Raw genomic sequence first — 14,740 nt, forward strand, 5'->3', positions numbered from 1 at the left:
GAGTGTAAAACACCTCCTGGATAAATAACTGTGACAAATCTTTACAGACCACTGGCAGTGGGGTTAGGATATGCCCGCATGATTTTCTGCATGAGACACCTGCAAAGTTCCTGAATGTCCCTGACAAACCCACAGCCTACCACAGTGCATGAAACATGGGGACTTTCTTTTAACCTAGCTCCCATTTGTCAATAGCTTCTAGTACCCGTGTATTGCTGAATTCCTGGCTTCATAATTGATGTTGGCCTTTCTAATAATCTCTCAGTTTCTGAAATGTCCTCACAGTGGGATTAATTTAGAAATTCCCCTAGGTTTTACAAGTGATTGTTTAAAAATAAATTAACTGGAGAGATTAATGAATGAATATAAGATTGCTAATCCAATTATTTAAGTGTTTAGGTGAAAGGCACAAACATGCAGGAATATGAAATCAAGCCTCTGAACCCACAAATAACAGCATTTTCAAGCACAGACATGCATATTCATAGTCACAAGGATTCAGTCTGCCAGATGTGAGTCCTGCTCCTATTTCCTCTACTCTTTCTCCGTCAAATTTCTTGTATCCTCTCCCTCTTTTCCCCTCTTTCACAGCAAATACACCCTGTGCAGACTATAATTGAGAATTTACATTCTTTTATTGCTTTGTTTTCCTAGGAGATGGTTATGAATAAGGGCCAGTTTTTACTTGGTCTTTACATATGCTCTATCAGTCAGGTACACTGCATGAGACACACAGGCATTGCAGAGGGTTTGCTGAACGAATACATTTCATACTGAAACACTGATAGCAAAAACACCCACTTCCAAACTGGAGGCTGTACACTGGTTACTTTCCACATAGGTACGCTATGTGTGGCTTTTGTGTATCAGGAGCCATGCAAAGTATTCTAGAAGCTGGTAGGTGTCACAGGGAGAGAAAGCAAATTCATTAGTTCATGGGCCTCTACACAGTACATAGCAGTTTTCAGCACACAAAAAGGGGTAAATCAACATTATTTAACTTATTCATATATACACATTTTCAAAGCTGCCAACCCTAAATATATTGTTGTAAACTAAACTAAATATTTCACAGGAAAGGAAAAATACCGTTTGTCATAAGTCAAACTCTAAAATAGAAGGATGACATAACAGCAGTATGGAATTTTAAAATTTACATTAGTGACTTTCAGAGACACAGGGATTTCTTTCCAAGACTATGTAAAATGTAGGAATACCGCTGACCAATGTAGGCAATGGATTGTGATGCATGCCTCTTAAATCCCAGCTCTGCACCTCCGAGCTGTGTGAACAGGGACAAGTAATCTATCCTTCTGAGCCTAAATTTCCTCATCTGTGAAACTGGAAGAAAGATTCGTACGTCACAGGGATTTTAAGAAAACTATCAGTAAGATATATAAAACACCTGATACATAGTGGGCCCTGAAAAAGCAATTATTATATATTCTGATATTGCAGTAAAGCAATACCATTTTCCCACAATATAATTTCTTTATTAGAATTTTGTGAATTCTACACAATGAGAAGTTCATCTGACACAAAAATCAAGGATGCTTCCTTCTGCGATGTAGCTTGGTAGTAAAAGCTATTTGATCAAAGCTAAAGGGAAAGAATCTAAGATTGTGATGGCTATTCACTCATAGGATATACTATTGTAGTGTAGGAAAACTCCTAACAGAACTACTGATTTTCAAACTTGCCGCGAAATAAATAACCTGGAAAAAGATTGAAAAGAGGAAAGGGAAGCCTCATATTTTTCCATCTTGCACTCCCAGAGAATGGCTGGCCCTGAGCCCACAGTCAGAAACGTTCTATCATGGTGGAAATCTCTCTAGAACTGGCTGAGTTCATTGGTGGTATGAGATGTTTTACCATGGAACAGGGAATGCAGCCATCTTCCTGATCACAATTTTGATACCAAACATGCCTCTGTCTTGTTGCCTTTCTCTAATGAATCGGTGAAGTTTAGAACAGCTTGGTGACCTTGGAAAGCCTGTTCTGCTTCTGACGAAACTGGCCTGAGCCTGTGGGTACACAGTGTCATTGATAAGTAAACTATCTTCCTTGTGGGCTGGCCAGATGTCTTTGTGGAGGGGAAGGCATCCTTCCAAGACCGGAATCCTCTCATGCAGGGACTAGCTTGCATAAAAGACCCTCCTCCAGATCCAGCCTCATCAAGACCTTGAAGCAGCTGTAAGTACCAATCATTCTATCCCTTCACAAGGACTTGAAACAAACTCCATTCCTCTACCTCTGCAGAAATTAGTGTTGAATTTTCCAGCACTTGACCAAAGGAGCAGGAGAACAACCTCTAAGACGAGGAGCTTCTGAAAGTATTAGGAGATGGGAGGAAAATGTTGCAGAGATGTGTGCATGAGAAACGGGGAGGGGAGCAGAGAGAACTCCAGGGGCAAGTTAAGCGGTGGGGGTCTGCCTATACGGCCATCTTTGTGGAGTGTTCTCATCAATGAGCCTGGAAGATTCCACCTCATTCAGATACCTCCTAGCTGTCAGATACTGGCCAAGTTACATAAGGCCTTAGATCTCAATCTTCTCTCTTTTGAAAATGGGAATGACAACATTGTGATTGAAGGGTTTTCATTAGGGTTAAATAAAAAAGGTACATGAAGTGCCTACTATAGCCCATCCATTGTTATGTATCCTATTACAAAACAATAGCTTCCACTTTGTTTTCAACTTTTTTGTAAATCGTTCTGCTTTGTGTTTAATTATATAATTGTGTTTCTTTCTGAAAGCCACTGTCTTGTGAAAATAAAATGCAATATGTAAATCATAGTATATGTCCTGTCCAGATAAAACCAAAACAATTTAGGCAATGAATGACCAAGATCTGAAAACACCACCACAAGTCATGCTGTGTGGTAGGAACTGTGCTACCCTGTGAAGATGCCACGGAAAATGAATCAGACTTCTGGCCTTCAGGTATCCCATGGCTGCCTTTCTATGGCATTTGGTACCTATATGGTGCCAGATTCTGCCTATGGCATCTGGTACCTATATGGTGCCGAAACAAATGGCAACCACTGGAAAAGCTGCAGAATGCAAAGAGAATGTTTTCCCTATAAGTGTCATTTTCAAAAGATTAATTAATTCAACGACTATTCAGTACTGCCCTTCTGGTTGTATCAGAGAGTGTGGATGGTAGGTTTACAAAGACCAACAACACATGGCCCTTTCTCTCACAAGTCTCCCATCTAGCACAGGACACAAACACATTCATTACATCCACAGGTATTTTCTGAGTGACTCCAATGTATGCTCACCAGAGATGAGATCTGGGCTGCTTGAGATATACCAGTGAGCAAGAGACAAAGATCCCTACCATCAGGAGCTAATACTCTAGCAGGAGCCATTATAGCTGGAGAGAGAACAGCAATAATCATCAATAAGTAATTAAATAGTCTGTTAGATGCAAAATACTATAATAGAAAGGACACTTGGGCCAAGGAAAAGAGGATCTGGGGTATCAGCGACAGGGTGGCAAGGAAGAGTGGGTTTAGCAGTCCATCATAAGGTGGCCTGGGTAGGCCTCATCTAGAAGGTGAGAAGTGATCAAGGCCTCAAGGTGAGTGAGGAAGTTATCCTTGTAGACAAGGGACAGGAACAATCCAAGCAGAGGGAATGGCTAGAGCAAAGGCCCTGAGGAGGGAAGGAGCCTGCCTGACACAACCCAGAAGCTGCAGAGTCCAGGTCCACTAGAGATGTGTGGCCCATGGGGAGTAGTAGGGGCAACTTTGAGGAGGAAATTGGCCAGATGTTGTAGGGCCTCGTATGTTTTGGAAGCATTTAACATTTTACTCTGATACATAAACACAGGGACACTAGAAAGGGTTTGGTGTCTGAATTAGAAGTCTCCGCAGTGTAGAGAAAAGGGAAAAGGAGGGTGACAGCAGTGAGGCAGGATCAGGTACTGAGCAAAGAAGTGGGAGAAATCAAGGTGTGCTGCATCTTTATGAGAGAGGCGGTGCTCACCTGGACTTCACATTTCCATGGATCACTGGGACCACATCCATGATTTGTGCACATCTATACCATTACTTGCAACATCACAAAAGTAGCAGTTCTGTATGCATCCTGTCATTTGTCCGGGAAAAAAAACAATGAGGGAGGTTATTTTGTATTCCATTCATTTTGTATTTAAGACCTTTCTAGGGAACTAGCTAGTATAGACCCAAAATAAAACCACCTTTGTGTTTGAACAAGAGTGTCCTAGGTACATGAAGGAAGAAAAAATTGGGGAACATATGAAGGTTGATGTGAAAGACACAACTTACCCCACCTTCCCTGGTCCTAGGTTAATTCATATTTCATTTAATTTCGCTATTAAATAGTTAACAGGTAAAATAACAACTATCCTTTGTGATCCATGTAGATCCTGTCATCATTTCTCATTCAATCAATATGCTTTAAATCCCTACTGGACACCAGATCCCAGGCACTGTGTTGACTCAGAGGGGAACAGACATGTTTCAGGCTGGTTCCCAGTCCTCAAATTTCTCACAAGCTTGCAGACAGATCATTACAGAGGTTCTTAATTAGAGCTATGACAGAATTAAAGTCAAGAAAGCCTGGAAAAACGGGGGGGGGTACTTTAATCCCAATGTAAAGGAAGGGCCAGCACATGGTCAGGAAAGCTTTCTTGGGAGAGGTGAAGTTCTGAGTAGGTAATTATCCCTCTTTACACCTGAGAAATACTAAGGTCAAAGATATTAACTCGCCTAAGGCTGCATAGCTACTGAGAGAGCAGGATTTAAATTTTAGTTCATTTGCATTTTAAAACACCGTATTTTTTTCTCATGGACTACTATCAAAATCACTTCCCCTGACTCTGCTTCCGTTAAGTATTCTGAAAGTTTCTCAGGTATGTTGCAGTCCCTCTTCTGATAGCTAGGTCCAGCTGTGAGTACAGTCAGGCTCTGAGAAGGTCTTTAACATTCCCAATCTCAGGTAACAGCTGTTTTTCAGAGCTCCTCTCTTAGGACTGTACTTCACTTAAAACTCAGTTACAAATGTCACTTTCCATTGCTTTCTCACTAAGTAAAGTAGCCAACTTCCCCGAGGATGCTTCTACTATTCCTGTCAATTGCCCATCTGCCTGCCCCTTCCTAATTCTGAAAAAAAGGCAGAGATGTGCATCCTAGACTTGTTGGTTTCAGGGTAGATCCTCTCCGCTTTCATCCTAGGGATTCTGCAAATTTACATGGAAGCTCCATTCTCTTGGGTGCCTGGATCTTCCAGGCAGAAAAAAGCTAGAAAGGAGGAAGACCATACCAAAAGGAATGACATGCACTGTCTATGTCAGCAACCCTTAACATAAGGGAAACATGCCATAGTGAATGCAAGATGATTACATCTGGACTCAGACAGACCAGGGTGTGGATCCCAGCTCCACCACTTCCCGGCTTGCTCACTTTAACCCATCTCAGCCTGTTAATCTGTTAAAGGGGATTTTGACACTTTTCAGGTTTGCTTGTACAAAAATATTAAGTGCATATAAGAAAGCAGACCATCCATAAATCAACATCATGGTCTAGTGTGATGACAGCATAGAATTTCTTTTTTTCTGTATCACTTCATTGCATTTTGTCTTGCAGGGGAAATCAAAGCCTCGAATCGTGAAGAAACATGTGGAGGTGACACAACAATTATTTGCTGGGAGTGAGAGAGGTACTCACATGCTCTTTTCACTTATTGTCCAGAAGAAGAACATCACGATGGAAACATACCTTTCACTGGAGTCATTGAATCTTAACTACTGAATACCTTACCCAAGAAGTCAATGCTGAATGTCATCAACAAAGGCCGCAACAACCATAGCTGTGGATAAGAAGAATCCTTCTCTTAAGACATGTTGATTTTTTGAGTGTGCAGGGTATGGAGACATGAAGCCTTAAACTCGAATACAAAATCCACTCTAAGTCCTCATTTTCTCTTCTGTAAAATGGACTTATGAACTGCCTCCCTCCCTATGAGTTAATGAGATAACAGTTAAATAGAATGCAGGGCGTAACACAGGACCTCTCACAGGGACTGTACTCAACACGTTAGATGTCTTAACTTCATCCCTTTCTGACTCCAGGGAAAGTGAAATGCCAGCATTTTTAAGTAGATGTTACATTTCTACAGCGAACAATCTTGTCTTTCTCTGATTGTTTTTGGTTGATTTTTATGTATCATGTCAATGGTTGGAGCAGCTAGTTTTTAATGCATAACAAAGCGCTGCCAAATTTTATGCTTTAAACAGTAAACTATTTTACTCACAATTCTGCAGGTCAATAATTTCAGCTGGTCCCATCTGAGTGGGTTTTCTTGTTTGTTTGTTTGCTTTTTTTTTTTTTTTTTTGCTGTTCATGGCTAGGCTTAGTTATGCATCTTCAGCTAGTGCTCTCTTATGACCTAAGTAGTTCTGCTTGTGGGCGAATGGTCTAGGATGGCCTCACCCATATGTTGGGCAACGGTTTCACTGTCAGCTGGGGTGAAAGGGAAGAATCTGCCACAGGTATCTCATCATCCAGCTAGCCTGGCCAGCCTTCCTCACATTGCTGTCACAATGTTTCAAGAGCGAAAAGAGAGAGGATACCCCAGTGTGCAAGCACCTTTCAGTTCTCTGCTGACTTCTGTTCACATTTGTTATTGTCCCACTGGACACAACAAATTACATGGCCAAGACCAGAAACAATGACAGTGTGGAAGGAGATACAGGCTTCCACGAACAAATTGCAGTTTCACTGTAACAATCTACTACTACAGTGATTCCTGAATTACACTGCTCATCATTGGAGAAATACTTAAATATGCAAAACCAGACAGAGGAATGCTGTTCTCTTAAAAAGGATTTTTACTATCGTTACAAAAGTCTTAGCTTTTCTTGCCTTGTTACTATATTATAGATGAATAATAAAGTTATTAGGCCATTCTCACATTGCTATAAAGAAATACCTGAGACTGGGTAATTTACAAAGAAAAGAGGTTTAATTGGCTCATGGTTCTGCAGGTTTTACAGGAAGCATGGTGCCAACAGTTGCTCAGCTTCTGGGGTCGCCTCAGGAAGCTTACAATGGTGGCAGAAGGCAGAGGGGGAGTAGATGCATCACATAGCGAAAGCATGAGCAAGACAGGGGAAGGTGCCACTTGCTTTTAAGTCACCAGATCTTGTGAGCACTCACTATCACACAGACAGCACCAAGCCATGAGGGATCCGCCCTCATGATCCAAACATCTCCCACCAGGCCCCACTTCCACCATTGGGGATTACAATTTAACATGAGATTTGGGCAAGGACAAGTATCCAAACTATGTCAGCTGTGAAAGTTTGGGGAAAAGGTAATTAAAAAATTCCCTTGCTATTGTATTAAGCCTGTTTTAAGTTGTGGGTCTCCATATCCAGACTTTTCCAGTAGGGTTTCAGTCTGTGCCTCTTTCCATGTTATAATGTCCTATTCCTCTTCCCTGCCACAAGTATGCCCCCGGAAGGGACCTATTGCAGAGGCACGGTGTGATGTAGAACTGATACTGATGGAATAGACTAGAAAATGGCACCTCTTTCTTGTGAGACAAAGGAGACAGTACCTGGCAATTGTGAAGCAGCCCTGCCCTGTGGCCGGAGCCTGGATTGGCCCCTCTCGAACCCAGACACCCCACTAGTCTGCTAGTTTTGCTAGAGTGTCTCGTGATTCATTCAAATCATGTTTCAAAGCTCTGAGTAGAAGTTCAACCATTTTGTACTACTAAGTCCTAACCACATTTTTAGGACCCCTTAGTATTTTATTTGTTTTGTGGTGGTTAATAGTACACTTTGGGAGGCCGAGGTGGGCGGATCGCGAGGTTAGGAGTTCAAGAGCAGCCTGACCAACATGGTGAAACCCGTCTCTTCTAAAGCTACAAAAATTAGCCAGGCGTGATGGCACCCGCCTGTAATCCCAGCTACTCAGGAGGCTGAGGCAGGAGGATCGCTTGAACCCAGGAGGCGAAGGTTGCAGTGAGCTAAGATCGTGCCACGGCACTCCAGCCTGGGCGACAGAGCGACAGAGTGAGACTCCATCTCAAAAAATAAAATAAAATAAAATTGTGAAATAGGACGGGATCTCCATGTGCATGGTTTCCCAAACACCAAGTGGTGCTTATCAAAGAGAAAGATAGAGAAGGGTGGAGTGTGTGGAGAATAGGAGAACGTCTCTGGGCTTTAACGCAGGACTACTAGATGGGTGGTGCTCTGGTCTTTAAGGTGTACTGCATCGAAGTGCAAATGGCTGCAACACGGAGGCGAGGAGTGTACCCATGAGGAAACTGAGGTGCAGGGAGGTCAGGCAGGTTGTGAACAGGGGTTTAAGAAAAGCGTTAAATTACTGGCTGCGCCAAGATGCTCTGCAAGGTGGGAACCTGTTGAAGAAATAAAACTGCATCATGTGACTCAGCAAAGATGCCCGGCTACTGTGCCAAGAATCCCGTGGGTTGTGCAGACAACACTAGGGCCCAGGTCCCATGAGTAAGCCAGAATGGTTGATAGTGGGGGAGGATGATGACGACGCTGCCTTTGCCCCTGTCTTGTGTGAAACAACTGCCTGTGGGTTTCCTGCAGCGCAGTGGGGAGTGAGAGGAGAAACGTCCTGCCGTGCCACAGTGAGTTTGGGTCAAAGGCACACATGGAGGCAGTCTTGGCCAAAGTCACAATGCGGTGAATTTCGCTGTGCGCCAAGGAGGTTCCTGGCCCCAGGAGTGCGAAGCGCCTGCGCAGTGGGCCCCAGGCGTTGCGCGCTGCGGGAGCCAGGAGACCCCCGCCCCTGGCCCCTCGCCCCGGTTCCTCGCCCCTCAGCCCACGCCCTCCCCTGCGAACGCGCACGTGAACGGGAGCGCGGACGCGCCCGAGAATGCGCTTCACCTCGCAGAAGCGGGTGGGCTCTGTGGAGAGTCGCGGGCTCGCGGGCAGCAGCGCCTCCTCCACTCCGGCGGGCCCGGGTTCGGCCGGCCGCCCATCGGACTGGCGGACTGGCTGACTGACACGCCTCGCTTGCCCCCGCCTCCGCCCGTGCCCCGCCCAGCTTCATCTCTCCCTCCGCTCCCCGGGCTCGGGGGCAGACGGCAGACGGAGGCGCCTCTCTCTCCCCGCCCCTCTCCTCGGCCCTTTCTCTTCCCAGCACCTCGGCTGCTGCCCGGCAGCGGCAGCAGCTGCGTCGGCGGCCCACACAGCAGCGAGAGGCGAGAGGAGGCTGCCTCGAGGATGAAGTGCAAACCCAACCAGACACGGACCTACGACCCCGAGGGGTTCAAGAAGCGGGCGGCGTGCCTGTGCTTCCGGAGCGAGCGCGAGGACGAGGTCCTGTTAGTGAGTAGCAGCCGGTACCCGGACCGCTGGATCGTGCCGGGCGGGGGCATGGAGCCCGAGGAGGAGCCGGGCGGTGCGGCGGTCCGAGAGGTGTACGAAGAGGCGGGAGTCAAGGGGAAGTTAGGCCGGCTCCTGGGCGTCTTCGAACAGAACCAGGACCCCAAGCACAGAACGTACGTGTATGTACTGACTGTCACGGAGCTGCTGGAGGATTGGGAAGATTCGGTTAGCATTGGGAGGAAGCGAGAGTGGTTCAAAGTCGAAGATGCCATCAAGGTTCTCCAGTGCCACAAGCCCGTGCACGCCGAATATCTGGAGAAACTAAAGCTGGGCGGTTCCCCAACCAATGGAAACTCCATGGCCCCATCCTCGCCAGATAGCGATCCCTAGTATGTACCGCTTGCGCCCGCACAGACTTCTGTTTGTCTGCCTTGCTTAAAATGCATCCCGCCTGGAGCACCTCTCGTACCATGTGCGGTCTCATGGGCAGGAGGGAGGCTTTTGTTTCCTTGGCAGACCCTCTGAATCACGCTTGCAAACTGTTGCCAGGCCCTGTTTTCAGTTGGCACGTTTTTCAGTTGCTTTCAAAATCGCTTCTTGGTTACCCTGTAAAATGTTTCGGAGAAGCCTATGCCGCTTGGGGTTTTAGGTGCTGTAACTGTTCACCCTGCTTTTGGGCGGGGGGGGGGGGGGTGGGGGGCGAGGGGTGGGCGGGGAGTGTGTGTGTCTGCCTGTGCGCCCTGTGATGTTTTTGGTTCTTTTATATTTCACACATATTCGTGGGTGCGTGCACATTTTTGATACCAGCCTTGTGGTTTGTTTGGTAGTGGAGGCCTTTAAAGTCTGACCAGCTTGGTTGTGTGGCATCTTTTAGTATTTTTTTCCCTTGAGTTGTTTTCTCCTTCACAGCGTTCGCCCTTGTTGTCAGGGAGGCCTTCTGTGGTGGGAGTTGGTTTAAAAAATCAGTTTTGAATTCGTAAAAACATTAGGAAATCCTACATCTTGTGCTCTTTCTGCACTCGACAGTCGCTCTAGCCTCTGAAGTGGTATCTCATTTGCCCCTTTCAGAAATTTCTTTTTCTATTTCTATGTAGGTCATTTGGTTTTCAAAAAATTTTCACAAGTAATTTTTCACTGCTGACTTTAAATCGCTATTTCCCATGTAGATTAACCTTACTGAATAGATGCTGCTGGGGATCTGCTAGCCAAACGCATCTGATCAGAAAAACTGTATTCACAGAATTTGATTTCCCATACTCAACTTCCAACTCCCATTGCCCCTTACTGGATACCATAGAAGAACCATGGTTCTCTGGATTTAAGTTTGTTTTTGAAAGAAAGTGGTTTCCATTCCATATTTGAATGTAGTGACATTCCGCTTAACCTCCCTGACTCCCAGTAACCACAGGAATGGAATCTTTTGTGGTGATTACATCCCAACAGAGTTAGCTCTAGCGATGTTCAGCTGGTACAGAATTGTCAAACTATTAGGATTCCTGAACAATCTCTCAATGATAGAGAGTAATTGTTTTGTCTCACAGTACCACCTTTTCTGGGTGCCAAATTAAAAGCTCTCACGTTTGCCTCAGTACTTGCTTGAAGTCAGGAATCCCATCTAGAATAGCTAAATCTCTCTTCTGGACCTTCCGCTGTTCCCCCAGCCATGTCTGACATTAGGTAGAAGGAAAACCTATTTTGTGAAGAGGGTATTCGAATGAAAAGATCATTCCTAATTTCTAGAGCAACCTAGACTATGTCATATCTCTTAAACATTATTGACAGGTATTGGGGTCCCTTAACTTTTTTTTTTGAGATGGAGTCTTGTTCTATGGGTCACTGTTACGCACTTTCTATTAAGAAATTTTGGGTTTCGCTATGTAAATTCTAGGTTCCTCTTCTGGATTTCATCTCCCATGACAGTTGAGGAAATGTCTAGTTTTTGAAGAGAGTATGGGTGGGGGCTGGGGGACCGGGCGCGGTGGCTCACGCCTGTAATCCCAGCACTTTGGAAGGCCGAGGCGGGCAGATAACGAGGTTAGGAGATCAAGATCAGCCTGGCCAGCATGGTGAAACCCCGTCTCTACTAAAAATACAAAAACTAGCTGGGCATCGTGGTGTGCGCCTGTAATCCCAGCTACTCGGGAGGCTGAGGTAGGAGAATCGCTTGATCCCGGGAGGCGGAGGTTGCAGCGAGCCGAGATCGTGCCACTGCACTCCAGCCTGGGCGACCGTCTCAAAAAAAAAAAAAAAAAAAAAAGACTGATTTTCCCCCTCGTCCCTGTCCCCCAATGGACAAGTGCCTACTTTTTCTTATTCTAAAAAAAATTTGAAGACGACATGTTGGAGTAAAGGTAAGTTTGGTTGCTTGATACAGAATTTGCTCTGGATGGTTAACATATTTTCTAAGAAACCTATGTTCTGTTGATCAGGTCACCTTTGAAAGAAGTAACCCTGAAAGGGGTGAAAGGTGGCCATAAATATTTTTAAGTCCTGTAGAAAATTGATAAAAATTGAAGTGTGTATGTGTAAGAGCTTGTAAAGAAACAGCAACATTAGAGGGCCCTTGTGGGATAGATGGTTTAAAGGGCTCTGATGCTGGAGCTGCTCCTTGTCTCACTTGCCTTTAAGTGGAGTTCAATTGTAAGAAAAAGCATGTCCTCCCTCCATAGTTGTTGACTGGGAAAAGGGAGATTAGAGCTTACAGCACTAACAGCTGGCCAGAGTTTTATTTTTCAGAGTTCCTTTTGTGGAAGCATCAGTCAAAACAAATATTCTCAGCATCATTCTTGTATTGCAATCATCTTTCTGAATGACTGTTGGCCTATTAGAATATGGACTTTTTGAGGACTAGGACCCAGACTGAATCCTCCCCCATATCCTCAGAGCCTAGAACAGTGCCTGAAATTTGGAGACATTTGTCTTTGATCCACAGATTAGAAATGTCTACAAGTGTATTCCCGATTTCTGAGCTTCATAATGTACCTGGGACAATCTGTTATTCCCTCAGGCTCTCATCTGGCCTCACAGTGAAACTGCATTCGATAATTCACTGAAGGCTTTTCCAATTCAAAATGGTTGATGAGCCATAGTAGGTGCTCAATAAGTATTTGTTGATTAGAGGAATGGATGAACCAATAAAACCCTATTAATAAGAATTTTTCTTTTTAGGTGAATGGCATAGATGTTGTTCAGATTTACTTTGAAAGAATCAAGTATGTGAATGGATGGATGAATGGAATTGTGAAGCACAGATGAGCTCTTTCACACTCCAAGGACACAGCTCATCCTATGCTTTTGGACACTTCTTCCCTGTTTATTACAATGACTATTCTCCAGGTTGTTGCACTACCGCTGTATCTGTACATAATTCTAACTTGGCACCTGTGGCCTTTTTTGTGCTCTTATGTGTCTGTATTTCCCGGCAGAGTATACGCCCTTGAATGCCAGGAACTTGTTTCCTTAGTCTTTTTTATATATCTAGCATATAAGATATTGCTTAGAATATGGTAGACATCACTGAAGATTTGTTTCAGTAGTTCATATTTTGTAATGATACTGAATGGTTAAACAATCCCTTTCTAATCTGTCTAGCATATATGTGACTTTTGTTTATCAAGTGTCACACAACTGCTTCAAGGCAGCTGTGAGATACTAGAAAGCAAAAATTCTTACTCCTATGTCTGTGTCATCCCAGATGTGTGCCTCCAGATGGCAGTATACTACACTATCTGTAAAATATATTTGCAAAGCCAGGCACAGTGTTACGCGTCTGCCTCAGGAGGCTGAGGCAGAAGAATAGCTTGAGCCCAGGAGCTTTAGTCTAGCCTGAGCAATATAATGAGACTCCGTCTCTTAAAATATTTGCCCAAACATTGAACCTAAATTTGACCATGCCCCTAGAAATAATTCCTAATCTTTAGAAAATAGGGCAGAGAAACATTATTTTACACCATGGAGATGAGATCAGCAGAATCCAGACTATAAGAAACTACAGGACACATGACCTAGTTTCTTCTGTAAATAACTTGCAAGGATGAAAGATGGAGGATGAACCTATAGATTTAAAGAGACTTAAGAGACATATTAACCAATTGTTAATTGGATCTTATTTGAATTGTGATTTGACCGAACTGTAAAACGAATACATTTATGAGACAATCGGGGTAATTTGAACATTGGTGGGGTATTTGGTATTAGAATAATGGTTTTATCATTATGTTAGAAAGAAGGGTCCTCATCTACATTCTCAAACATCTGTGGCTGATATGATATGATTCTTGGAATTTGCTTCAAAATAATAAGTCTGGATGTTAAGTGCATTGGAAATATTGATGAAACGAAATTGGCCTTGATAATTGTTGAAGCTGGGTGATGGCTAAAATGATGGTTCATTATATATGTTCATCTCTATTTTTGTATGTTTGGCATTTTCCGTAATAAAGTTTATAAAAATAATTACTGGAGTTATTCTTATTAAGCCTAATATATAAGGTAGAAAAAAAGGAAAATATTTAGATTGTTTAAAAAAGGTTGGCTGTGGCATACCGCTTCTGGCCCAAGGGGTCAAATGCCCAAAAAGAGAAGGGAGAAATACCCTGGAGTGGCTAGCAGTTCCCTTGCTGTAGACCAATGTTAGCAGTTTTTTCTTTTAATTTGGCCCATTGAAATAGGAAAAGCTAGATTCTTATTTATTCATACTAGAAAATAAGAATGGATTCTTATATGCTGTTGAGCAGGGGTTTTGATAACACCTACATACCAGTTCATACAAATGTGAAAAATCAAAGAGGTGGAGTCTCCAAGGAGAAAGTTTATGGAATTTTATAAAAATCTACATAAGCCACTTTTTGAATAGTTTTTAAGGGAACAATAGCTGTAAACTTGTTAGCTGCACATAATTAAGTTTAAAGTTATATTTGAAGGTAGGTAAAAAAGGAAATTAAGCAGTTAACATTCCTGACTTCAGTGGACCATTTTGCATTTCACAGATTGCAGATACTCCTTCAGTTCTGGACTGTGCTTAAATTTCTGCAAAGGCTAAAATTCTGTAAAGGCTGTGCTTACATCAACAAACATGGTGTCTGTCCTGATGTTTTTGTGAGTCAAGAAGGAACAGGCAGAAAGTGAGAAGAGTATTAAAGGTCCCTCCTAGGGAAGATGAATTCCTTCCTAAGTGTGAAGTACTGAAGCTGAAGCTGCCCCTTCTACTTCTGTTCTTTAAGTGTGTTCCAATCCCAAGAGCAAGCAACTCCCCAGAACCAACTGTTACTGGGAAAAGGGGAGGTGAAAAGTTTACCTTAGAGCCCTTTACCAGTCATAGCTGGACAGAGCTTTCAGTTCCAAGATTCCCCTGTGAGAAGGCACCATGATATACCAGAAAAACTTTCATCAAGTTTT

The 14,740-nt window shown here is 43.7% G+C and overlaps 1 protein-coding gene and 1 long non-coding RNA gene across 10 annotated transcripts in view; one reads left to right on the top strand and one right to left on the bottom strand.

Annotated features, from left to right (window-relative positions):
• Window positions 1-14,740, bottom strand: part of LOC105373204 (uncharacterized) — a 175,604-nt gene that overhangs the window by 102,745 nt on the left and 58,119 nt on the right. For 4 of the 8 annotated variants that reach the window (XR_007068234.1, XR_007068236.1, XR_007068232.1 and 1 more), the window contains one exon: window positions 617-5,838. This is a non-coding gene — a long non-coding RNA (uncharacterized LOC105373204). Of the gene's footprint in view, window positions 1-616; window positions 5,839-14,740 lie in introns of those variants that run through there. The other 4 variants (XR_007068238.1, XR_007068233.1, XR_007068235.1 and 1 more) reach the window with 4 other exon arrangements.
• On the top strand, window positions 8,504-13,798 carry NUDT10 (nudix hydrolase 10). 2 transcript variants are annotated; one of them, NM_153183.4, is made up of 3 exons: window positions 8,504-8,640; window positions 9,156-9,732; window positions 12,512-13,798. In NM_153183.4, coding segments are annotated over exons 2-3 (495 nt in total). In that variant the 5' UTR covers window positions 8,504-8,640; window positions 9,156-9,238; the 3' UTR covers window positions 12,513-13,798. The 2 variants fall into 2 exon arrangements, with proteins under 2 accessions (NP_694853.1, NP_001291892.1); NM_001304963.2 differs by lacking the exon at window positions 8,504-8,640 and having other exon boundaries at window positions 9,095-9,732.

This window comes from Homo sapiens, chromosome X, assembly GCF_000001405.40.
Source record: "Homo sapiens chromosome X, GRCh38.p14 Primary Assembly".
NCBI lineage: Eukaryota > Metazoa > Chordata > Mammalia > Primates > Hominidae > Homo > Homo sapiens.